The sequence below is a fragment of the Homo sapiens genome, chromosome 20 (assembly GCF_000001405.40).
Source record: "Homo sapiens chromosome 20, GRCh38.p14 Primary Assembly".
Lineage (NCBI taxonomy): Eukaryota > Metazoa > Chordata > Mammalia > Primates > Hominidae > Homo > Homo sapiens.
In genome coordinates this window covers 5,480,321-5,505,629 of record NC_000020.11, presented here as the reverse complement: position 1 = coordinate 5,505,629, position 25,309 = coordinate 5,480,321, and the positions used below count along the sequence as shown (strand labels likewise).

At 47.1% G+C, this 25,309-nt stretch overlaps 2 long non-coding RNA genes across 5 annotated transcripts, besides 1 other annotated feature; one reads left to right on the top strand and one right to left on the bottom strand.

Moving 5' to 3' along the window:
* The first annotated feature begins 1,033 nt into the window (after positions 1-1,033).
* LINC00654 (long intergenic non-protein coding RNA 654) lies at positions 1,034-9,563 on the top strand. Its single transcript, NR_015406.2, has 2 exons — positions 1,034-1,332; positions 3,767-9,563. It is a non-coding gene; the product is annotated as a long intergenic non-protein coding RNA 654 (long non-coding RNA).
* Positions 1,179-1,288: an enhancer, noted in NCBI's record as "active region_17518". NCBI's record gives its function as "activates an Ori minimal core promoter by ATAC-STARR-seq in GM12878 lymphoblastoid cells {active_cell/tissue: GM12878}" and the evidence as "EXISTENCE:reporter gene assay evidence [ECO:0000049][PMID:35858748]".
* Positions 3,028-19,946, bottom strand: LOC124904863 (uncharacterized). 4 transcript variants are annotated; one of them, XR_007067507.1, is made up of 4 exons: positions 19,731-19,946; positions 19,380-19,589; positions 18,439-18,532; positions 17,621-17,696 (listed from the first exon to the last, which is right to left on the bottom strand). It is a non-coding gene; the product is annotated as an uncharacterized LOC124904863 (long non-coding RNA). The 4 variants fall into 4 exon arrangements; XR_007067510.1 differs by having other exon boundaries at positions 18,439-18,501; positions 19,731-19,821; XR_007067508.1 differs by having other exon boundaries at positions 17,630-17,714; positions 19,731-19,821.
* Positions 19,947-25,309: the final 5,363 nt, after the last annotated feature.

Below are 25,309 nucleotides of genomic sequence, written 5' to 3'. Positions count from 1 at the left end.
CTCTCAAAAACTACACAGTTATACTTTGACCCAGAAATTATACTCCTACTTATATAAGCAGAAATGAAAACATAAATCTACACAAACTTCTACACAAATGCTCATAGCAGCTTTATTCATAATAAACAGAAGTGGAAACAGTTCAAAAGTCCATCAGCTGATGACTGGATAAATATCATATATGCATACAAGGGAATATTTTTCAGTAAAAAACTAAGTTCTGGGCCAGGTGAGGCATCTCATGCCTGTAATGCTGATGCTTGCACCCGTGCAAGCATAGGTATTGCACAGGCTGAAGAAGGAGGATGGTTTCACCCCAAGAGTTCAAGACCAGCCTGGACAACATAGCAAGACCCCTTTCTCTACATATATATAGAAAATGTTCTCAAATTAGATGGTGCCGATGATTGCACAATTCTGTGACTATACTAAGAACCAGTGTATATTCTATTTTATTTCATTTTATTTTAGAGACAGGGTCTCACTCTGTCACCCAGGCTGGAGTGAAGTGGTGCGATTTCAGGTCACAGCAACTTCTATCTCCCAGGTTCAAGCGATTCTCCTGCCTCAGCCTCCCGAGTACCTGGGATTACAAGCACACACAACTATGCCTGGATATTTTTTGTATCTTTAGTAGAGACAGGGTTTTGCCATGTTGGCAAGGCTGGTCTTGAACTCATGACCTCAGGTGACCCGCCACCCCCATCCCCGCTGCCCCCTCGGCCTCCCAAAGTGCTGGGATTACAGGCGTGAGCCACCGCGCCGGGCCCATTGTACATTTTAAATGGGCGAATTACATCGTGTGTGAATTATAACTTAATAAAGCTGCTGGGAAAAAAAAGAAGATAAAAAAGTGAGGTGGATTAAAGGGCCCATAGAGGAAGCCACCTGACCCCCGGCCTGGCCTCCTTCTCGGCTCTTCCTCTCCGGGGGCCCAACAGGGCTGTGCGTTTGACAGGCAGTTGGGAGACCCTGGTGGCCGGTTTTGGTCGGTCACGTGGGCACGCGGCTGAGCCAATCAGAATCTCCCGGCAGTTGGTTCCCGGAGGCAGAATCTGTTAAACTGACAAAGCCCACGTCTCCGGGTCCCTGTCTCGGGGAGTCGGGACTATTGGGTCACCCCGGGTAGTCGAGACTCTAGACTGAGCTGTCTCGGTCACTCAGGAGGCAGTTGGCAGAGTATTCGTGGTCAGGGAGGTGACCCGTGGTCAGCAGGGTCAGGCCACCCAGGGACAAAGGGTGCTCCTGCACCGGGCCTTGGAGAAGGACAGAGCGGTGGGGACTTGGGGTCAGCGGGGGAGCCTCCGCGGATGGGGAGTCACCACCTGCCGGGTAAGAGGGGACTCATCACAGGGGCCGGAGCAAGACAAGCCCTCCCTCCCGGCTCAGGCCGGGTCCCAGGCTGGACCCCTCCCTGTCTCACAGGGCCGGCCTCCTTCGGAGCTGGCTGGGATGGAAAGGGGAAGTAGGAGGAGCTCAGGACACAGGGATTGGGGCCGATCCTGGGGTCTGAGCTGTGGGGTGAGGAGGGGATCGCCTGTCCCCTGGGGAGTGACGATGTCACCCAGCCGTGGCCGTTGCGGAGGTCATGATCTGAACCTTGACAGGTAACCCCAGGGCTGCCTTCCTGTTCTTCTCCTGGGCTGTCAGGGGACACCCTGCTCTGTTTTGTTTTTAAGTGACCAGAGACAGACACGTAACATAGAAAACGCTATCACTTTGATCATTTGTTTCGAATGGAAGAAAAACCGACACAAGTGGGTTTCTGGTGGGAAGCGCTTCCCTCCAACTCCAGGAACTCCATCAAGGAGTTAAGAAAGCACAGAGTCCTGTCAGCAGCCAGAGACATGCTGGGCAGTGGTGACCTCGGAGCCACCCCGCGACATGGAGATCTCGAGCTCCGCCCTCCGTGCAGGGAGATTCCTTTTGGAAAAAATCTCTGGCAGAGTGGGAGGGTGTAGGGGCCAGCCACATACATGCTTGCTGCTAGGACCCCTTAGCCATGGGCAGGGTGGGCACAGTGACCAGGGCCAGGAAACTTACAGGCCCACCAAAGAGTGTCAATTTCAGTCAGAAGAAAAAAAAATTGAACTATGTGATTTTTTTTTTTTTTAAGACGCAGTCTTGCTCTGTCGCCCAGGCTGGAGTGCAGAGGCGTGATCTCGGCTCACTGCAAGCTCCTCCTCCCGGGTTCACGCCATTCTCCTGCCTCAGCCTCCCGGGTAGCTGGGACTACAGGAGCCCGCCACTGCGCCCGGCTAATTTTTTCTGTATTTTTAGTAGAGATGAGGTTTCACCGTGGTCTCGATCTCCTGACCTCGTGATCCACCCGCCTCGGCCTCCCAAAGTGCTGGGATTACAGGTGTGAGCCACCACGCCTGGCCTATGATATTAATATATTTATCATTATACCAGTAACTCATAAAATCAAATTTCAAACTTTTTCTTTCTTTTTTTTTTTTTTTTTTTTGAGACAGAGTCTTGCTGTGTTGCCAGGCTGGAGTGCAGTGGCTCCATCTCGGCTAACTGCAACCTCCTCCTCCCAGGTTCAAGCCATTCTTCTGCCTCAGCCTCCCGAGTAGCTGGGACTACAGCCACCCACCACCACGCCTGGCTACTTCTTTGTATTTTAGTAGAAACAGGGTTTTACCGTGTTGGTCAAGATGGTCTCGATCTCCTGACCTCGTAACCTGCCCGCCTTGGCCTCCCGAAGTGCTGGGATTACAGGTGTGAGCCACCGCACCCAGCAAACTTCAAACTTTTTAATGGAACAAGGACACACAGGCATTAATCCCCAGTGTCCATCAAAGTTGCAATGCAGCCCTAACGCCTGGCATCCTTGAAAGGGATGTGCATTTAGTAATGAGATTTGCTCAGCAGCGTAGTCAGCTGTGTGGTGCATTCTCAGCTGTGCCTCAGCAGCCCTGATGCAGACATCCAGAAGGAGCACAGCCACTTTATCCAGAGGTGAAGTTTTGCAGCAAGACAGCATTCATAGGGGGAGTTCTCAACAAATGTCAGTCCCCAAAAAGGGAACTGGCTTTATTATGGTCATTAGGATATTCACTCGTAGAGAACAGGACCTGACAGACAAAGCAAAGAATGAATACTAAGATTAGAAGTATTTGGCACATTTGGGATGAGAAGGAGGCACAGTGGGAAAGTGTTGAGTTGAAATCAAACTTGGGTTAAATGTGCTCAGTTTTGCCCAGGATCATTCTTGGCCACAGGACTCAGTTTGCTGAGCAGGTACACAACACACAAGGATACAAGCAGCCATTGCACACAGACACACCCACATCAGACACAACCTGCTCTCCTCTCCTCCCTGCACCAAGAGGCACATGTGGCAGGGGTCCTGGTGGAGCACTTCCAGGAGGAATGTCTGGGGACCCTCATGTGAAGGGAACTCCGTGTCAAGGCACCCCCTTTCCTCAGCCACAGTGAGCTCTTGGGAGCTGGGCAATGGTGTGGGAGAGGTTGTGGGGGATAGCAAAGCAGGGGAACCAGCCTGGAATTGTCTCAGAGAAAGACCAGGCCACTAAGAGTGCAGATGGAGACATGAGACATCCAAGGGAGGGAGGAGAGGGGACCCCCTCGTGAAACTGGGGCTCACGTAAACCTGCATCAAGCACTGCGGCAGTGTTCAATCAGAAATGCTGCCCAGTACCCAGGTGGGGCACATACATGCTCAACACGTGAAAAATATCTGTTCTGATTTGTGCTTCAGGAGAAGAGTTAATGTCTCCTTCATCTTTCTCTCTAGCAATCAGCCATGACTGCCTTTGCACTGTCCATGCTCTCAGCCCACCACCTCCTCCCCCTGCCATTGCAGTGGCTAACACTGGAGACGAAGACCAAGACACCACAGCCTTTCTCCAGTACCTCTCAAATCAGCACAGACAAGGACAAAGGCCTCAATCCACAACTGCTGAAGATGGACCCTGGCCACATGGGATGGTCAGACACGCCTGCCCAGCTATCTGCAGGCGAAGAGGCTCAGAAGAGGTTTAGGGGCCTGAAGGACATCTTGCTTCCATGTCCATATGAGCAGGCTATTTCTGCTCCATGAGTCAATTTTGCCATATAAAATACTTAATTTCAGCCATTCCAGGGTGCTATAGGATGCACAGCTTCCCATCAGCCCACCTGAACTCCAGCCATGCCATTTTAATACCAGGAATAAGGTCACCTGCTTTCCTGCCCCTTAGGAGGCCGGAGCCGTGGAAGCAAAATGGCACTTCTGTTTACCTGTTATATTATTTTTTTGTCATCCTTATATGTTTGAAAAATGCAATTATATGAAAAAAGTTTAGTAATTACAGACATAACAGCAGAAAGTCCTCGGAACCAAGCTTATTCTCATGGCCGATTCTGCTCCACCTGGGACTCTGCTGTGCTGCGGGCATCCTGTGGTCAGAATCGCAGAGGGGCCATCAGGGAGGACCTTCCCAGAGGATGGACCTCACGTGACTGCTGCGTGGGCAAGTGGCACTGGCCACTCTGCCTGGAGAGAGGAGTAAATGCAGGGCTGGCCAGGCGACCTGCACACTCTGCTACCGGCCTTGTCCATCTTTAGCCTCTAATTTGAAAATGAGGATCACACAGACCAAGAGTATCTTTGAGGGTTAGTACAGACCACAGAAATGCCCTGGGCCTTTCACTCTCTCCTTTTGCAAATTCCCATGTGTGGAAATGCCGTTTGGATAATGAGGGAGCCTGAAGGAGGTGGACACATGAGCAGCCCCGACAGGCCTGGCTCCATCCTCTGAAAATGGGGCCCCGTGCCCGGCGTGTGGCCTTACTGGTTCAGTCTTCTTTACAGTGGTAGGTTTTGAGTGCCCAGATGCCCAGTGCCTCCTACCCGGAACAGGACAGGACCAGGCTGTCCCCTGGAAGAATCCCATGCACACTTGGCTATTCAGGGAGTTTCCACCCAGCCGAGCTCGCCTCTGTGGCTACCCTGGTCTTGCTGCTCATATCTGCCAGGAAAGGCCTGGACTTGGAGAGAAACCTGGGATTTGGATTCAGTCCTTGCCAGCCTGGCTGGTTCATATCCTTACCTCTGTCTGTGGAAGCCTATGTTCCTGAGCAGCGAGTCAGAGGGGGCATCTGAACGCAGAGCAGGGAGCTTCAGATGGGAAGAAGTCAGAGGAACCAGAATGTATCAGACGATGTGGAGTTGGGTGCCTGAGCTCAAAGCAAGCTGGGCCTTGGGCTGGCTGTGTGATCTTGGGCAAGTTCGACCAGCTTCTTTGTGCCTCTTTTCTCTCCTTAATAAGATAAATGTCTTCACTAGTACACTGAGGGCTGCCATTAAGTTCTATGTGCAGGGATCCAAGGCAGGCCCTAGGTCTCTTGGTGAGTGCTACTCCTCCTTACAATTTGCTGCCCGGAGCAACATTGGGTGACAGAACTTCTTAGCACCTTGGCAGTCCTTGTCCTCCTGGACCCTCTGTTTTGAGGGTGGAATGAGGTGAAGGGCAAGTGCTTTCCCAGCTGGTCAGGTGCTCTACCAACTGGGCATATTCTAATCCCCCCAGAGTATACAGATCAGAGTTTGATGTGGCCAATGGGTCCAATGCCCAAGTGAGAATCTCTTGATGAAGTTATTGGTGTGGGGTTTTGCTTTGGTTTTTAATTATAGAGAGCAAAAGTATTGAAAGTATTACATTTACCCTAAAGGTGTAAGCAAGTTATGGTCAAGTGAAGATGAAGTACCATCCTCAAACACGGGTTCCATTCTTAGCTCATCTCATTTAAAGGAGAGAAAAGCCTTGCAGGTGAAACATGGTGGGGGTAGACAGGGGTTCAGCCAATTTCAGTGTTTGGCCCCAAGAAGTGAATTTGGGTTTGAGGACCTCTCTCTGGAAGGATTTTATGACCAGATCTTCCTGGAGATGATATTAGAAGCTTTTCTCACCAAATATTTATTTGCCTGGGGTGCAACTTCTGCTTCATTCTCTCTTTGACTCCAGCTGTCTTTTTGGACTGAAGTGCAGGTTGCTCACAGCATCCTACAAAGTAACTGTCTTCCCAAATCTCACTTACCTCTGAGTTTCTGCTGTATTCCTGTCTTTCTCTCTCTCTTTTTGAACTGGAATCTATTACTTTGGATGATGCATGCTGGCGTTTTCTAAAGTTTTCTGATTGATTGTGTCTTTAAAAAATAATCTGATAGTATTTTAGCTTCTTGAATTTTGTGGCATATTTTTAGGCCTCTCCTAAACCCATTTTTGAGTGCTATGACATTGTTCATGTATGAAGTTATGCCAGTAGAAACAAAATGCTGTCATATAGGCTCCCCTAAAACTTCAAATCTGGTCCAGATCTTAGACTGGCAGCTTCTGCTGTCATTGGATCTCAGTGAGACCTTTGCACCCATTTCCTCCCTTTGTGATTCATCCACGGACATCCCCATCTCCTTGAGAACAATCTCAGGAATATTCCTTGCCTTCTTTCGGCTCTCACTCCATCTCATTTTCTGCTGTTCACTCGGGAATAAAGAGATGTCCCACACTTTAAAGAGTAAAAACAAAAATTGGAGCTCAGAGAGGGTGAACTTGTCAATATCACACAGAGCTGGGAGTGTGGTAAGCCCTTGAAATGGGGCTCAATGACACCGCTACCTCCCAGGGATTCCTAATGTCTGAGGGTTCCAGTGAGCTGAGATGAACCCAGGGCCTAAGAAGAACTCTCTGACCTCCTCACCTCCAAAGCCCCACCCAGTGCACATGGCCTGAGGCGTCCATGGTGATGGTAAAGAAACCTCACCTGCCATCTCTCCCATTACTGCCATGTCCCCTCTCATCCTATTCTGTGCCAAATGTCCAGATGTGATCAATAGAATCAGGAGAAAATTGAGGCCTGAGGGGAGGGGGCCAGACTCTGGGAGTGGAGAGTGGATTGAAGTCAGACTAGGGCTGTTCAGCAAGGAGTTCAGGGCCTTCAAGTGTTGGGAGCTTGGCAGCAATGCCAAGGGGAATGGGGGTGGATTTGGGTCCAAGTTTATGTTCGAAGAATATAAGCATGATTTGGAGACTCCTGATGTTCATATGCCCCCATCAAGCAGAGCTAGGGGTCGCCAGAGGAGAGAATGGTGCTAGAAGTTCAGGTGAGAACAGGGCAGACCCCTGCATAAATGTGGGATCTCTCTGTTTGAATCACGGCCCAAACACCGTGGCAGGGACACTCCCAAGGAACTCAAACATGTATTTTATCAGGGCTTTAACATAAGGAATATTGATTCTTAAGAAAATTGGAAACATATGAGAATCTAATTTACTCTGTTATGAGATGCCATACACCTGGAAGAACAGGTTAACTGTCAAATTACTACCAAATTGTTGCAAAAAATTGCCAATGAAGCAATCATACAAAGCTCAGGTAACAGAGTGGGTGGCCATCACTCTGGGAGAGGGAGATAGCACTGGAGAAGGTCCTTGTGACTCAGATCAAAGAGAGCAAATGGCAAAGAAGGGGGACAGTTGCTGTTTTCTGAAGTAAAGCCTCTTAGGTGTTATTTGACCATTTGTTACCTGTGAATGTATAATTTTGATTTTTAAAATAAGTAGAAAGGAGCCTCTTTCTTAAAACCAACCAATCTCTGAGCCCCACAGATGGTATTCTGGTTTCTTGCAGGAGGTTCTGGGTCCCACCCGCCTGCCCCCTTCTAGGACAACCCCACCAGCAAGGAGGTCTTTTAGTTCCTTCTGTGTGTGTTCACCTGCTCGTCCTGGCTTGGGCCCCAGGGAGCCCAGGAACCTCAGGGTTCTCTCAGCTGCACTTCCATCCGTGGTGCCCAACCTCAGTGCCTAGGACTCTGTGTGCCTGACCTCCTCCAGGCGGGGCTGCTCCCTCCAGGTGTCCACCTGGTATGGGCATCCCGTGGCAGCTCTCCTCTGATGACCGAGTGTGGTGGGGGTGCTAAGGCCAACTTGCTGCTGGCACGCCCAGAACTTATTTGCTGGCTGTTTCAAAGACTCCCTAAAGGCACCATGGATTTTCCTTAGAATACAGTTCTGTGCAGTCCCGCCCATCCTCTTCCCCTCTGTTTCCCACTAGGGCTGATACTTGCTTTAAGGTCTGATGGCTCACCCAGTCCTTCATAATTTTCACAATGTTATGTTCCTTCCTAAAACCCTTGCAGTTTAATCTGCTCTTGGCGTCTGCTTCTCAGAGGAGCTGAGGAACAGAGACTTCAACCCTTCTTCTCTCAGTTCCTGCTGCCCCTGTAGTGAGGCTGACAGTTGCAGACCATAGAGCCAGCCTGGCCTTGCCCAGAGCATACATGACCTCTTAGTAAGGCTGGGCCCTGCTAAGGGCTATGTTTTGCACACGTTCCTGCTAGTCACATCCAGCACATCTGGGCTACCACTTGGATGGCAACATTACATTGAAGACCACTGTGGCCATGGCAGGAGTAGACAAGGTGGCAGTCTTGTCTTCAGTCGTCATGGAAATCCCAGCTATGCAGCACTAGCAGGTGTTTTGTAATGGAGGATCAGATGCTTGAGCTTCTGAGCAGGCCCCCTCCCTCTACTGCCTTCTGTCAGGGTCTTGGCAGCAGCCGGCTCTGGAAGGCATCCCGGCTCTGGGTTCAAGAGCTTGCTGGGCTTCTACATGAAGGTGTGAAGTGTGAATGTTACCTTTTCTGATTTACACTTCTGTTTTCTGCTACAAACTTGGGATGTTTTCTGAGGGATGCTGAATAGATGGGGGTGGATGGGGGGAGGGAGGCAGGGGCTAGAAAGTGTTCTTCTGGGGCCACCCTCCAGCCTGGGGCATCTGATGGATGAGGAGGGGAGAATCTTTGAGATCCTGTTTATGAGGGCACTGCAAATACCACATTTTTTTCTTGTTTGCAAATTCTAGTGGAGAAGTTTTACCAGGTTGGGAGAGAGGCCTCAGAATTAAGTCCCTGTCTCCTGCCACAGTTTACACCGGTGAAGCTTCCTGGCCGAGCATAAACTCCCAGGTGGAGTACAAACAGCCTTCAACAATGGCACCATCATTGGTACCAATGGCATTGAGAGGAGGTGGCACTGACACCCTAAGTGGGTGGCACTGACACCTAAGACTTATGGTCTTCTGCTGCCTGGAGAGCTTTGCCTCCATCACTGGTGCCCACCTTGGGAATTCCCAGGAATTACTCTTCAAAGGTACACTCGGACGCCCACTCTGCAAGGCCATTTTGTTCCCTTACAGTGCCTCTGAAATCATTTTGAGAGAGGAGAATAGGGAATTAGGGTAAACAACGGTTAAGGCATAAGCAAAAGAACAGCAGGTGCAGCCAGCTCTAGACAGCATATAGGCCACATCCTCACTCCTGTTATAACAAAACAGAAGTTTCCACTTCAGCCTTTTGTTTCATCCTGGGTAAGTCCTTCATAGGGTGTAACCAATTGGAGGCCTCTAAAGGGCACCTAGGGGTGTTGCTAAATTATTAATAGCTTAAAACCCTAAAGAACATTGTAATCAGCGCTCTTGAGCCCTTTACATAAGTTGGCTTCCACTCTGTGGAGTGTACTTTGCTTCAATAAATCTGTGCTTTCATTGCTTCATTCTTTTTTTGCTTTGTTTGTGCACAACAAATCTGTGCTTTTGTTGCTTCTTTCATTGCTTTGCTCTTTTGTTGCTTTGGCTGAGTGTTTTGTTCATTCTTTGTTCAATGCCCCATGAGCCTGGACAACTCAGAGTCAAGACTTTTTACCTCGTAACAGTTTGTTATCCCAGAACTTGCAAATCTATCTGTCTTCTGTGTGTGGCTTTCTATGTGGCATAACTATAGACATTGAAGGTGAAACACAAGAGTAAGACTCTGTTCCTTAAGGAGCTCTCAGTTCACTGGATGAGACAGAAGGAAGCCACCGACTCTGAAAGGAAACAGAGTGTGGCAAAGATGGGGCAGAGGAGTGAGCACAGACAGGATCAAGAGAAAGGGGAGACAAACCATTGTCATCAGTGCAACCTTTCTGGGGAGCAATGTGTGAGTTGAGCTTTGGAGAAGAAATAAGGAAGCTGGATGTGGTGGCTCACTCCTGTAGTTTCAGCACTTTGGGAGGCCAAGGCAAGTGGACAGCTTGAATCCAGGGGCTTGAGACCAGCCTGGGCAACAAGGTGGTCTCAAGATGCTCTATGACTTGTCCTTCTGACTCAACAGACCCAATGATACTTTAAGTGTGGCAAAAGGTGAAACCCCATCTTTACTGAAAATACAACAAATTAGCCAAGCATGGTGGCACGCATGTGTGGTTACAGCCACTTGGGAGGCTGAGGTGGGAGAATCACCTGAGCCTGGAAGGTCAAGGCTGCAGTGAGCTGAGATCGCACCAGTACACTCCAGCCTGGGCAACCGGAGTGAGACCCTGTCTCAAAAAAACATGAATAAATAAATAAATAAATAAATAAATAAATAAATAAGAAGAGCCTTCCAGAGCAGTATGGAATGGCCAATGCCCCTCCTCCCTGCTGCTCCTCCTCCTGTAGCTGTTTCCTTCTCCCCTCTCTCCTTGCTTGGAACAGCCACAGCGACTCTCCAAATCATGACACTCAAAATGCCACTTCTAAAAAGAACATCAGGGTTGGTGCCTCTGCTTCTTCTGAATTGACCTCCCTTCTCTGCCCTCTTCTGACTCGTCCTCCCTTCTCTTTTGGATGTAATTCTTTCCAGCCTCCACACTCCTTTGACAGAAGATGAAAAATTTGTATCTCTGAATCCTATATCTGCTTGTCTATGATCTAAATACTTTTTGAGTCAACAAGGTGAACATATTCCTCATATTTCGTTATGGAATGTTTAAAACGTCTAAAATACACACTGCCACTGAGAAAGTAAATTCATGCACCTACAAAGAGAAAGGAAAGGACAGCCATCCACCATTTGACTACTGAGTTTCCACCTGCACCCTTCGACACTTATTAGAACTTTCATGAAACAGTGTGACAACTCTTATTCCTATCAAACAAAACAGAACTTTCTTCCTTGTATGTAAAGAAGTTTGCACCCTCTACACCGAATAAGGAGATGCACAGTTCCAACAGTTATTGTATACATCACTGACCATATTAGTCACTCCTCAAAATCCATCATAGGTCCACCAAATATTCTGTTACCTTAAGACTACATTGTAAGATTAAACTCCAACAACATGTATATACAACAAATGAATGGAGAGAAAAATAAAAGTGGTGAGCGTATAATATTAATGTGTACATATTACAAATATGCAAAGCTACTACCACACTTGATTTTGTAATTTATCATGAGGCCACGACACCTTTTAAAAAATATATTTAAAAAATATAAAAATTTATTTTAAAAATATTTATTCTTTTCACTACGCTTCTTTTATTTTGTGGAATCAGGCCATGATGGTACGTTTGTTTTCTTGTTTCACTACCCATTCCATATTTTCCCGGTCCTCACTGAGAACCTCAATTTGTCTCAGGTCTTTGTCTAATATGAGTGACCTAAATCACCAAAGTCCAGTCCTGAAGACAGGCTTTTCTGGGGAATATGCAGGGTTTGAGCAGCCGAGGCCCACTGAGTGAGCCCTTTCCAGGCACCAAGGGAAATGCCTTCAGGATAAGGAGGAAGAAAAATCTAACCAAAGATCCAAACCATAGGACCATGTGGACATGGCTACAATGCCAGGTGATTCCCAAAGAGCAGATACTGATGAACTTCCCATGAGGGAAATTCTCTCTTATCAGTCCATGAGAGGGCAAACACACTTAAAGCTCTGAGCAGTTATCAGGAGAAGATGCCTGAGCAGCTTTGGTGCTGACTGTGAAGAAACTGCAGGATGACCAGAAAGACCTGAATCTCCATGCTGAGGTCTGTGCTGTGAGGACAGGGATGTATCTAATGCATCTAACTCCACCTTCTACCCTGACTTCAAACTCTTCAAGAATAAACTGCATCAGGGCAGAGGCTGAGGAACTTCAGTCCATAATAAAACGTGAGGCCTTATGCCCGGCAAGGTGTGTCAGAGACTTGATGGCAACCAAGGTTGCCAAACATGTCAATTCTTCTGGACACAGGGTCACAAGTCATGGACATGCCAAGAAATGTCTATGCCCATTTTGAAAAATTAACTGGATTTGGAAGTAACTCTGAACAATGGGCTGATATATCTTTGTGGGTGGGCCCTTTTGTGCCAATATACACTGGAGTGGCTGTAATTAATAATGCTGAATGTATTGTGGGAATACATGTAGAGTGTGTATGTAATACTATGTTTAACTGTAAAGGACATTCCCTGTAAGAAAATACAAAGTAGAACAATGGAGAGGCACAAGTACATAAGCGGGAGTAACAGTACGTGTTGTTACACGCCAACATCCCTATCCTGGGGTGGGGCAGAAATGAGAAGTCTAACAAAGTGGATATTGCCCGACAAGCATCCATTACTAATGGAGGTGTTACATCCAGGAAAGAAGTAAACTAGACATTAATGGCATCTCACAGCTACATGAAAAAGTGCCTAGTCACCCTCTAGATGTGGCTGTCTCAGACACAGGATCTGTGCCAGCACCGTGGGCTTCTTGGGGACTTTAGTGCACTGAAGTCCTTGAGGATACCTGGGCTTGGTTCACAGATGGGTCAGCTAAGTTCAAGACCAGTGGGGGATATTGGGCTGCTGCTGCTGTGGAGCCCCAAAGGAAATTGCCCAAAACTGCATGGAAAAAGGAACTCTGCTCAGTTGGTGGAGTTGCCGGCCAACACTTGCCCTAGAAACACCCCCCTGCCCCCAAAATGCACCTTGTTACAATTCACTGACTTGTGGGCAGTCAACAGTGGAATTGGCAGTGTGGTGCTGGTGATGAGATGACTGGACGATCAAGTTGTAGCTTCCATGAGGACAAATATTATGGTGCAGATTGCACAAGATTTCAACCCCCGGTTTGTGACACTTGTGGATGCCAAGAAAAAAGACCCTTCAATAATGGACATCACTGAAATCCACAAGCTGATCAGGAGACCTGTACTGCCCTGGTGCCAGGAGCCATTAAAAGATGGAATGTGCTGCCCTTAAAGAGAAACGGATAAAGGTAACTAACAGTGAAGCCTATGCACCAAGTGGAGCATAATCATCATGAAGGCACTTTGGGCAAAAAATGTGGCAGTTCCCTGAAATGGTACCTTCTATTATATTTAAATAGAATTTGTGACAGATTGGAACAGAGGAGGCCCAGGCAGCCTATAAAATTCCCAAACCACATAATTAACACTTCTTGCACTATCTTCTGTGTCTACTTCTGAGCTACTGGAATTTCGGAGTAGCAAAAATGAGCCAGAGAATAGGTGACTCTAATATGGTACATCTTTTGCTGTCTGGCTATGCTTACTGAATTTAGGCAGTTATGGACATTGATGATAATGATCATGAATATGAGGTGGCAATTCCTAAGGTAGTTCTGGTGGACCTCAGTGCATCAGTGGGGAAGAGAGAGTTTTTAGGGTGGTACAAAGTATATAAGGAAGAAACTCCTGAGCCACTTAAGGATGAGTCTGAATGTGTGGTGTTGGCTAGATGTGGGAAGAGCTGCAAACACAGTGAAGTGAATGCTGCAAGGACTGGTCATACTGACCACCCAGCTGTGCAAGGAGAAGAGCAACCCTGGTTGATGTGAGGAGAGAACATCTTGGGCCCTGGAGTGTCAGGGGTGGTGGGAGTTGTCTGCAGGGCATCTGGCCAATTTAACCCAGAGTGCCACCACCACCCTCCACTGCTGGCCAGCATAGAATCTTAATCAGAACCCTCCCAATAGCCCTTGGCACCAGGAAATAGCTTCCAGTGACGTGGAAGAACAAGGTTAACTTTGCAGACACTCATGTTGTTAGAATTTTTAATATGCTTTTCACCGACTATTCTAAACTCTGTAGCATGAGTGATAATGGACAATCATATTGCCCTGGACTTCCTGCTGGCCAGTGAGTGTGGGAGGTGTGTGGTTGATAACACCTCATGCTGCACCTGGGTTAGTAACATATTTCACTGGCTTAACTCCAGATGTGGCATCTGGCTATGGTCTGATTGCACTAATGTAATAGCATGATCACTCTCATCTAATTTTGCCCAAGACAAACAGAACAGACTTGGTCTGATACGTTTACAGTTACTTAAAGAATGTAATAATGGTGGCCTATGCTACCAAGAATTCTTCACTGCATATGTGAACAAGCAGGAGGTGGCGCATGAAGTTGTAGGGGAATGCCCCCACCTTGCACCCTGACAACCTTGCACATATCCACACAGGCCTTCTGGGTAAAGGCACGGATCACAGGTAATCTGACTCTTGGCAGAACACCCTGTTATCCTCCTGGAACACAGGGTGAGAGGCCTATAAGGAGCTGCTGTAAGGCCATTTCCCACTCCTGTATATATGCTAAGAGGCTGATATTGCCTCTTGGGTTCTGATGAGGTATGAGGCTTTCTACCCCACCCTCTTCAGAATAGAGTTGCATAACAGAGTTGCAGAATTGGATCCTCAGCAGTGGGTACCCTCCAACTTGTCTTGCAGTCATCTGGCTCCTTTCATTTCAGTTTCGTGTGTGTGTATGTGTGTGTGTGTGTGTGTGTGTGTGTGTGTGTGTGTGTGTAGGGATGTGGTTGGGGGACAAGAACCACAGGGAGCTGTCACCTTTGACTATTCTTCCTTTCAGTGTCTACGTCTACGTACATAATAAACAATCTAAATCAAAAAATGGCTTTTGTATCTTTACTGGTCAAATCAGTCATGCTTTGCCCTTTTTTTGTACATTTGACAAGTGAAAGTTCTTGCAACTTCCCCTCCCTACCAAGAATAAACCAGAAGCAAAGCATCACTCGAGAAATTGTATCAATGAATGCCACAATCAAAGACTCAAAAGAAGTGGTGATACCTGTCACATCCCCATGTAACTTACCAGTTTGGCCTGTTCAGGAGTTAGATGAGTTTTGGAGAGAGGCTGTGGGTTATCATTAAGTAAATCAGGTAGAGACTCTCATTGCAATTGCAGGCTCAGATATAACAACTTTACTGGAGCAAATCATCATCACCCTTGAAACTTGGTATGCAGCTACTGACTCAGCTAAAGCTGTTTTTCATCATACCAATTTTCAAGGACCACCAGAAAGAGTTTGCTGTGACCTGGTAGTGCTAACAGTATACCTTCACAGCATTGCCACAGGGTAGCTCTATTCTGTTCTCCACCATGACATGGTCTATAGAAATACTGAGCGTTAAGCCAGACATGGTGGCTCATGCCTGTAATCCCAGCACTTTGGGAGGCTGAGGCGGGCAGATTACCTGAGGTCAGGAGTTCAAGACCAGCCTGACTAACATGGAGAAACCCTGTCTCTACTAAAAATACAAAATTAGCTGGGCATGGTGGCACATGTCTGTAATCCCAGCTACTCAGGAGGCTGAGGCAGGAAAATTGCTTGAACCCAGAAGGCAGAGGTTGCGGTGAGCTGAGATCGCGCCATTGCACTCCAGCCTGGGCAGCAAGAGCGAAACTCCATCTCAAAAAAGAAAAAAAAAGAAAGAAAGAAAAGAAATACTGAGTGTCTTGACACTCCACAAAACATAATACTGGTCCATATTGATGATATTATGCTGATTGGATTTGATGAGCAGGAAGTTACAAGTACTTTAGATGTCTTAATAAGACATATGTGAACCATATTGAAGGAGATAATACCCACAAAAAGCCAGGGGCTGGTCACCTGAGTGAAGGTTTGGGGATTCAGTAGTCTGGAGAACACCGAAATATCTCCTCCAAGGCAAAAGACCAACTTCTGCATTTTGTACTACCTACCACAAAGAGGCACAACTCTTGATAAGCCTTTTTGGGTTTTGGAGGCAACATGTATCACATTTGTGAATCTACAGAGATACTTGTAAGGCTTCCTGTTTCACATGGGACCTGGGACAAAGAAGGCTCTGCTCTAAATTCAGGCTATAGTATAAGCTGCTCTATCACTTGTCCTTCTGACTCAACAGACCCAATGATACTTTAAGTGTGGCAAACAGTTGATGTATGTAGCTTCTCAAAAGGATGAATAGGAAAATGACCACCTTGACCTCTAGAATTTTTGAATAAAATCCATGTCTTCTACAGATAACTATTCTCTTTTTGAGAACAGCTTCTGTCTTGCTACCAGGCCTTGGTAGATACTGAATGCCTAATGCTTCCCGTCACAAACTCACCTTGCCAAGAGATCAGGCATGTGCACAGTCTATCATCAAATGGACATGGTATATAAGAGATCAAGTTTGAGTAGGTCTGGAATATATGAGTAGATTTCATAACAGGCACTTCAGATTCCTTTGACACAAACTCCTGTTGCATTGTGTCCTGTCCTTCACCCCATGCCTGTGACCTCATGAACTGCTCCTTATGACCAGTTTACTGAGGAAAACACTTAGACCTGGTTACAGCTGAACCTATGCAGTAAGCTGGCAATACACAAAAGTGGACAGCCTCAGCATTACAGGGGTGACCCTGGAGTATGATGGAGCTGCCTGCCTTGCCTGTAATGCTTCTGCCAGCAACACCATCTGTGGACTGACAGAATGCTTTATCCACATTCACAGGAATCCAGCCATCATCTGAGGAAGCAGTTCATGTCGCAGCAAAGGAAGTTCTGTTCTCACCACAGCCCCTATCTTCTGGAAGCAGCTGTCGTAATTGAAAGGTGGAATGGCTTAGATTTGGTTATGACACCCTATAAGGATGGAGTTCTGTTTTACCTGATGCAGAATCTGCTTTGAATTAGAAGATATATGGTGCTGTCTCCCCCATAGTCAGAATATGTTGGTTTATAAAAAAGAATAGAATTAAGTGTGGCTCCTTTGACAATCACATCTAGTAACCCACTTAAAGAATTTTTGCATTTTGTCTCAGCAATTTTTAGTTCTGATGATTTAGAGGAATTTGTCCCTAGGGGGTTAATATCAGAGGACAGCAATTGCTTCATTAAACTGGAAGATGAGACTTCTACCTGAATACTTAGGTTCTTTATTTTATTGAACCAACAGACACAAGGGATTACTTGACTGTCTGGTTGGTGTTAATGATTCTGATTTCCAAGAAAAAATTGGGTTGCTGCTACCCCGTGGGTCAAAGGATGGCTATGTTAGCAACCCAGGGGATTCTTAGGGTGGTTCTTTGTACTTCCACATTCAGTTGTAAAGTTTAAGGGAAAGGTACTAAACTAAAAGACGGCAGGATGATTGAGGACTTAGTCCTTTGGGAATGGAGGTTTAGGGCACTGTAAAATACAAAGACCTGAGATGAATTGAGGTTCTTGATGAGGGCAGGAGAAATATGGAGGGGATAATGAAAGGAAGAAGTCATTGTATCCATCATGGCCTGAATCCACAAAGCAAAAGAAGTGTGGTGAAAAATAAATTAATTAATTAAAAAATTTTAATGGTATTACAGCCTCATGACAAATTACAGAAACAGATATGTAGTAGCTTTCTGTATTTTTTCTTTGTAATACGTACACATTTATATTATATGCTCACCAATTTGATCTTTTCTCTCTGTTCATTTGTTGTATATTCATGTTGTTGAAGTTTAATTTTATAAGTTAGGCTTCAGGTAACAGAATGTTTGGTGGACCCAGGATTGATTTTGTGGAGTCATTAATATGGTCAGTGATGTATACAATAACTGTTGGAACTGTGCGTCTCCTGTTCTGTAGAGAGGGTGCCAACTTTTTCAGATACAAGGAAGAAAGGTGTATTTTGTTTGACAGAAATAAAAAGAAAGGTGTATTTTGAAACATAGTTTCATGTAAGTCCTAGTAAACATTGAAAGGTGCAGATGGAAATTCAGTAGTCAAATGGTAGATGGCTGTCCCTTTCCTTTCTCTTTGTAGGTGACTGAATTTACTTTCTTAGGGGCAGAGTCTGTTGCAGATGTTTTAAAAAATTCCACAACTGGGTAGGCACGGTGGCTCATGCCTGTAATCCCAGCATTTTGGGAGGCCGAGGCGGGTGGATCACGCGGTCAAGAGTTTGAGACCAGCCTGGCCAACACGGTGAAAGCCTGTATCTAACTAAAAATACAAAAATTAGCTGGGTGTAGTGACACGCACCAGTAGTCCCAGCTACTCGGGAGGCTGAGGCAGGAGAATAGCTTGAACTGGGGAGGTGGAGGTTACAGTGAGCCTAGACTGTGCCATTGCACTCCAGCCTGGGTGACAGAGCAAGACTCCATCTCAAAAAAAAAAAAAAAATCACAACCAATTGAGGAATATGTTCACCTTGTGGACTCACAGAGGATACAAATCATACAAAAGCAGATGGGGATTCGGAAATGTAAATTTTTTCATCTGCTGTAGAGGGAGTTTGGAGGTTGGGTGAGGGGAAAGAACTACATGAGACACAAAGAGGGCAGGGAAGGGAGGCCAAGTCAGAAGAAGCAGAGGCACCTACCCGGATGTTCTTTTTAGATGTGGCGTTTTGAGCATCATGATTTGGAGAGTCGTTGTGACCGTGCTGAGCAAGGACAGAGGGAAGAAGGGAACAGCTGCAGGAGGGGGAATGGCAGGGAGGAGGGGACATTGGTCTTCCAAGAAGAGTCCTTGGAAGACTCTTCTCCCACACTCTTTAAAACCTCATTTCTTCTCCAAAGCTCAGCTCACACATTGCTCCCCAGAAAGGCTGCACTGATGACAGTGGTCTTTCTCCCCCTTCTCTTGATCCCCTCTGTGCTCACCCCTCTGCCCCATCTTTGCCACATCCTGTTCCCTTTCAGAGTCAGTGGCTTCCTTCTGTCTCATCTAGTGAACTGTGAGCTCCCTAAGAAAAGGAACAGAGTCTTACCCTTGCTTTTCACCCTCAATGTCTATAGATATGCCATATAGAAAGCCACACACAGAAGACAGGTGGATTTGCAAATGCTTGGATACAAATGATTTCAGAGGTACAGTAAGGGAACAAAATGTCTTTGCAGAGGGGGCATCCGAGTGTACCTTTGAAGGGTACACTCAGGAATTCCCCTGAGTACACTAAGGAATTCCCCAGGTGGTCACCAGTGATGGAGGCAAAGCTCTCCAGGCAGAAGAAGACCAAAGAGCAGCCACCCGCCTAGAGTGTTAGTGCCACCTCCTCTCTGAGGGCTGTTTGTGCTCGACCTGGGAGTTCGTGCTCGGCCAGTGAGCATCTTCAGGGTAAACTGTGTCAAGAAACAGGATCTTGTTCTTTAGGGCTTTCTCCCAATCTAGTACAACCTCTCTTCTAGAATTTGCAAAAGATACAGTCTTTGTGGTGTCCTCATAGACTGGATTTATGGGACATCTGTTGTCTAAGTTCCATCTTTAAAATGACCTTACGATGACACTGTGCCTTTTCACTCTGTAGGGTGCATTTCTCACCTGCACTGTGGTCCAGGAAACTCAAGTCACCGTCCCCACCATGTTCTTCCTGACTTCGAAGCAGTCTGGTGACCCCAGGCAGGAACTGACTAGCATGAGAGTCTTGATGCAGGAGAATTTTTGAAGAAATTCAGAAGCAGAACCGAAAGGAGGAGAGAAGGTGGAGGTGGGAAAGCTGACAGCTGGAGACTGGGGAGGGCCCTTTGAGGCCTGGGAGAGAATATGTGGATGGTGGGGAGACCTTTCCCAGCATTTTGGTAAAGGCTCCGTCAGTGCCCTGTCCTCGTGTTGGGGTCCCCCTCTCACAAAGTATCTTTTCCACCTTTAGCCACCTCCACCCTGTCCACTAACCTTCAGTGGGAACAGCAGATGCAACTGGCGGGGCTGAAGGTCAGTGGGAACTCCAGGGCCCCAGAGAAGGCCTGCACCACACTGAGCAGGATCCAGGAGAGTGGAGAAGGGAGGTCGAGGTCCCTGTTAGAGGAGGGTGTGAAGGGGTCAAGATGAAGGAGCAGCAGGACCTGAGGCCCTCCCTCTGCACACAGACTTTCTCTGGTGGGCTCAGGCTCTGGCAACAGCCCCTTATTTACTCCCCTCTCCCTCTGTTCAGGCTCAGCCCATCCCCCCTTAGCTGATGGAGGAGGGGTCATAATGGGACCCTTGTGATGTCACTGCATCCCACCCCTCATTCCTCCGTGTGAAGTCCCCCTAGCACTGTCCCTGCGCTACGCCCTGTCCCAGAGGGCCCACCCAGTGATAGCCCTTTCCTTCCTTCTAGCCCCTCCTTCCTCCCCTCCATCAACTCCCATGTATTCAGTGTCCCTCAGGAAATGTCCAAAATCTGCAGCAGAAAAATGTAACTCAGAAAAGGTGACATTCTAACCTCAAACTTTCAAGCAGAAGCCCAGCAAGCTCCTGAACCCAGAGTCAGGATGCCTTCCAGAGCAAGCTGCCACTGAGGCCCTGCCAGAAGGCAGTGATGAGCCCAGGAGGCCTGCCCAGCAGCTGCAGGGAGGGGGCGGAGGATTGGGGCCGCATCTGCGAGCATCTGAGCCTCTATTCTAAAATACCTGTTAGCACTGGATGCCGGGGTTTCCATGGTGACTGAAGACTCTGCCACCTGGTCCACCCCTGTTATGACCACAGTGGGCCCCAATCTAATGTTGCCATCAAGAGTGATAGCCCAGATGTGCTGGATGTGACTAGCAGGAACAAGGAGAAATGCAGCCCTTAGCTGCGGGGGCGGCGCTCCATTTTGCTAAGGAATAGCTTATGCTTTGGACAAGGGAAGCCGGCTCTGTTGTCCCCAACTGCCCACCTTGCCACAGGGGCAGCAGGGACTGGGAGAAGAGAGTGTGGAGTCTGTTACCGAGCTCCTCTGAGAAACAGACGCCAAAACTAAATTGCAGGGGTTTTAGGAGGGAACAGACATAATGAAAAGAATGAGAAAAAACTGGGTAAGCCACTAGACCATGAAGCAAGTGTGACCCCCAGTGTGGGGGAGAGAGGGGAAGAGGATGGGTGGGACTGCTCAGGACTGTGTTCTAAGGAAAATACGTGGAGCCTTTAGGGAGTCTTTGAAACAGTCAGCAAAGAAGGTTTGGCTGTGCCAGCAACAAGTCAGCCTTAGCATCCCCAGCACACTCGGTCATCAGAGGAGAGCTGCCACGGGAGCTCCGTACCAGCTGGACACCTGGGGGCAGCAGCCCCGCCTGGAGGAGGTCAGGCACAGAGTCCTATGCACTGAGGCTGGATGGAAGTGCAGCTGAGGGAACCCAGAGGTCCCTGGGGCCAAAGCCAGGACCAGCAGGAGAACACACACAATAAGAGCTAGAAGACCTCCTTGCTGGTGGGTTTGTCCTAAAAGGGAGCAGGCAGGCGGGAAGAGAAACTCCTGCAAGAAACCAGAACACCATCTGTGGGGCTCAGGGATCGGGTGTTGTCAGGAAAGAGGCTCTTTTCTATTTATTTTTAAAATCAAAGTTACACATTCACATGGAGAAACAAATGGTCAAATAACACCTAAGAGGCTTTATTTCAGGACACAGCTACTCTGTCCCCCTTTTCTCATTGTCTGCCCACAAAACCATTTTCCATTCTATGACCTGAGTCACAAAGACCTTCTGTGCTGTCTCCCTCTGCCAGGGTGCTGGCCACCCCCTCCATTACTTGAGCCCTTACAGCTATGCATGATTGCTGCATTGGTAATTTGTTGCAACAATTTGGTGATAACAATTTAACACTTAACCCAGTTTTCCACCTGTATAACATCTCATAGCCGATTAAATGAGATTTTCACTCACATGTTGTGGATTTTCTTAAGAACTGATACTTCATGTTAAAGCCCTAGTAAAATAAATGTTTGAGTTCCCTGAGAGTACTCCTGCCACAGGGTTTGGGCCTTGATTCAAACACCCGCAGTGCCTGGGAGACCTCCCCCGCCCCGCCCGCCCCGCATTTATGCAGGGGTCTGCCCTGTTCTCACATGAACTTCTAGCACCAATCTTCCCTCCAGCGGCTCCTAGCTCTGCTTTCTGGGGACACAAGAACATAGGAGTCTCCAAGTCATGCTTATATTCTTCCAAACATAAACTCAAACCCCAATGTCCCCCATTCTTCTTGGCACTGCTGTTGAGCTCCCCGGGTTTGAAGGCTCTGAGCTCAGCGCTCAAAGCCCCTGGTCTGACTCCAGGCCCTTTCCTCTCAGAACATTTCCCCTTGATTCTATTGATCACATCTGGACACTCAGCACAGAATGGGATGACAGGCAACTCAGCAGTAACGGGACACGGCAGTAATGGGAGAGATGGCAGATGACGTTTCTTTACCATCACCATGGAAGCCTCATGCCATGTGCACTGGGTGTGCTTTTGGAGGTGGGAGGGTCAGACAGCACGTCTTGGGCCCTGGGTTCATCCCAGCTCACTGGGACTCTTAGACATTAGGGATCCCTGGGAGGCAGCGATGTCATTGAGCCCATTTTAAGGGCTTACCACACTCACAGCTCTGTGTCTTCTTGACAAGTCCACCCTCTCTAAGCCCCAATTTTTGTTTTACTCTCTAAAGTGTGGGACATTTCTTTATTTCACAGGAAACAGCAGGCAGTGAGATGGAGTGAGAACTGGAATAAGGCAAGGAATATTGCTGAGATGGTTCTCAAATCAATGGAGAGAGATGTCCGTGGATGAATCACAAAGGGAGGGAATGGGTGCAAAGGCCTCACTGAGATCCAATGACAGCAGAAGCTGCCAGGATCTGACGTAAACCAGTTTGGTTGAAGTGTTGGGGGAGGCTATATGACCACATTTTGTTTCTATTGGCACAATTCCATACATGGAAAATGTCATGAGACTCAAAAATGGGTTCAGCAGAAGCTCAAAAATATGCTACAAAATTCAGGAAGAAGCTAAAATATTATCAGATTATTTTATAAAGGACACAACTAGTCAGGAACCTTTTGAAAACACCAGCATGCATCATCCAAAGAAGTAGAATCCAATTAAAAAAAAAAAAAAGACTGGGAGGAGTACATCACAAAGGAGGGTGAGATTTGGGAAGACAGTTACTCTAAGACCCTGTGAGCAAACTGCACCTGATTCCAGAAAGACAGTTGGAGTCGAGGAGAGAATGAAGCAACTTTACTGGCTGGGTTGAAGCCTACCCTATCAGAACGGAATAAGGCTAATGCGGTTATCAAGGTTCTCTTGAAGGAAATAATCCCCTGGTTTGGGTTGCCCCAAAGCCTCCAAAGTGATAATCGCTTGTCTTCTGCCTCCCAAATAACTCAAAGGGTTGCTAAGGCTCTCAGAATTAAATACTATTTACACTCAGCATGGAGGCCTCAATCCTCAGGGAAAGTAGAAAGGGCTAATCAAACTCTAAAACTGGCATTAGCTAAGCTATGTCAGGAAACATCAGAAACTTGGATCAACTTACTGCCCATAGCCCTCTTAAGAAACCATTATTCTCCAAGAGCAAAAATTAATATAAGCCCATATAAAATGTTATATGGGAGGCCATTTTAACTAATGATCTAATTACTGATCCAGAAACGGCTGAGTTAATAAAATACCTAGTTAACCTAGGACAGTTTCAGCAGGTCTCGCAAGAGTTTGGAACTCAAAGGCTCCCCGCACCAGGAACTAACCAGCAAACCAAGGTCAGGCCAGGAGATAAGGTACTTGTTAAAACATGGAATGAGGAGTCACCTGCTCAACAACTACAACCCTAATGGAAGGGACTATTTTCACTGGTGTTGGCCATGCCTTCCATGGCCAAAGTACTAGGATTAGATAGTTGGATACCTCTTTCCAGGTTTAAGCCTGCAACATCTGAAGCCCTGGACCTGGAACCGGAGACTCCCACCAGCCACTATACCTGTGAACCCGTAGAAGACCTGAACTACCTATTTAAAAGACAGTCAAAAGATAAGTAAATGCCTACCAATTTTCCCTGGTGTAAAATGTTAACTGATTTTTGCTCTCTCACTTACAGATGTTTGTATAAGGGTTTCAGCCAATTTTGGAACAAAATTCAAAATCAGGCCAAAATACTTACCTGTTGTGACTAGATCAAGCCAGCTGTACCTTTTATAACCACGTACAAGGCTTGCCGCAACCCATGGATACCCACCTAAATACTTAGGAATAGAGAGCCATGATCCTCAGTAGGCAGGGACAATGCCCATGACCAGTAGAAAGTAGCTACAGAAAACTGATCTTCAGCCCTTTTGCCTCCCATAAAGATTTATGGGGATCATATCTCTCAGAGGGAAATGAGGCAGGAGAATAGGGAATTAGGGTAACCAGGGTTTCAGCTGGTGCAGCCAGTGCCGCAGGGGTGGAAGAACAGCAGGTGCAGCCAGTTCAAATGAGCAGAAGAACAGCAGGTGCAGCATATAGGCCACATCCTTGCTCCCATGATAACAAGCCACTTCAGCCTCCGATTGGTCTCAGGCCAATCCTTTATGAGGTGTGGTCAATTGGAGGCCTCTGAAGGGCACTGAGAGGTGTTGCCGGGTTTTTTCTTTAATAAAAACCGTAATTGAGGGGGCTCTTGAGCAGCCGCTTGCTCAAGCCCAATCCCACTCTGAATTTTCTTCAATAAATCTGTGCCCACACTGGCATTTTGTTCAGTTCCTTGCCCAATACACCAAGAACAGCAGGTGCAGCATACAGGCCACATCCTGGCTGGACAACTCACATTTAGGACACTCTCTCCGGCAACAGGTGACATCATCCTCTTAGCCTGTCAAAATGTTGGTATTACAGGCATGAGCTGCCCTGCCTGGCCTATAACTTTTTTTGCTGAAAAATATTCCCTTGTATGCAGGTATTACATTTAGCCATTCATCAGCTGGTGGACATTTGAACTGTTTCCACTTTTGTTTACTATGAATAAAGCTGCTATGAACACCTGTGTAAAGTTTTGCATAGACATGTTTTCATTTCTGTATATATATCTAAGAGTATAATTTCATTTATTTATTTATTTATTTATTTTTGAGACAGAGTTTCACTCTTGTTGCCCAGGCTGGAGTGCAATGGCGTGATCTCAGCTCACTGCAACATTTTCCTCCTGGGTTCAAGCGATTCTCCTGCTCAGCCTCCCGAGTAGCTGGGATTACAGGCACAAGCCACCACACCTGGCTAATTTTTTATATTTTTGGTAGAGACGGGGTTTCACCATGTTGGCCAGGCTGGTTTCGAACTCCTGACCTCAGGTGATCTACCTGCCTCGGCCTCCCAAAGTGCTGGGATTACAGGCATGAGCCACCACACCTGGCCTATAATTTTTGGGTCAAAGTGTAACTCTGTTTAATTGTTTAGGGGAATTTCCAACCTATTTTATGGTTTTATTGTTGTTGTTTTGAGACAAGGTCTCACTCTGTCACCCAGGCTGGAGTGCAGTGGCACGAACATGACTCACTG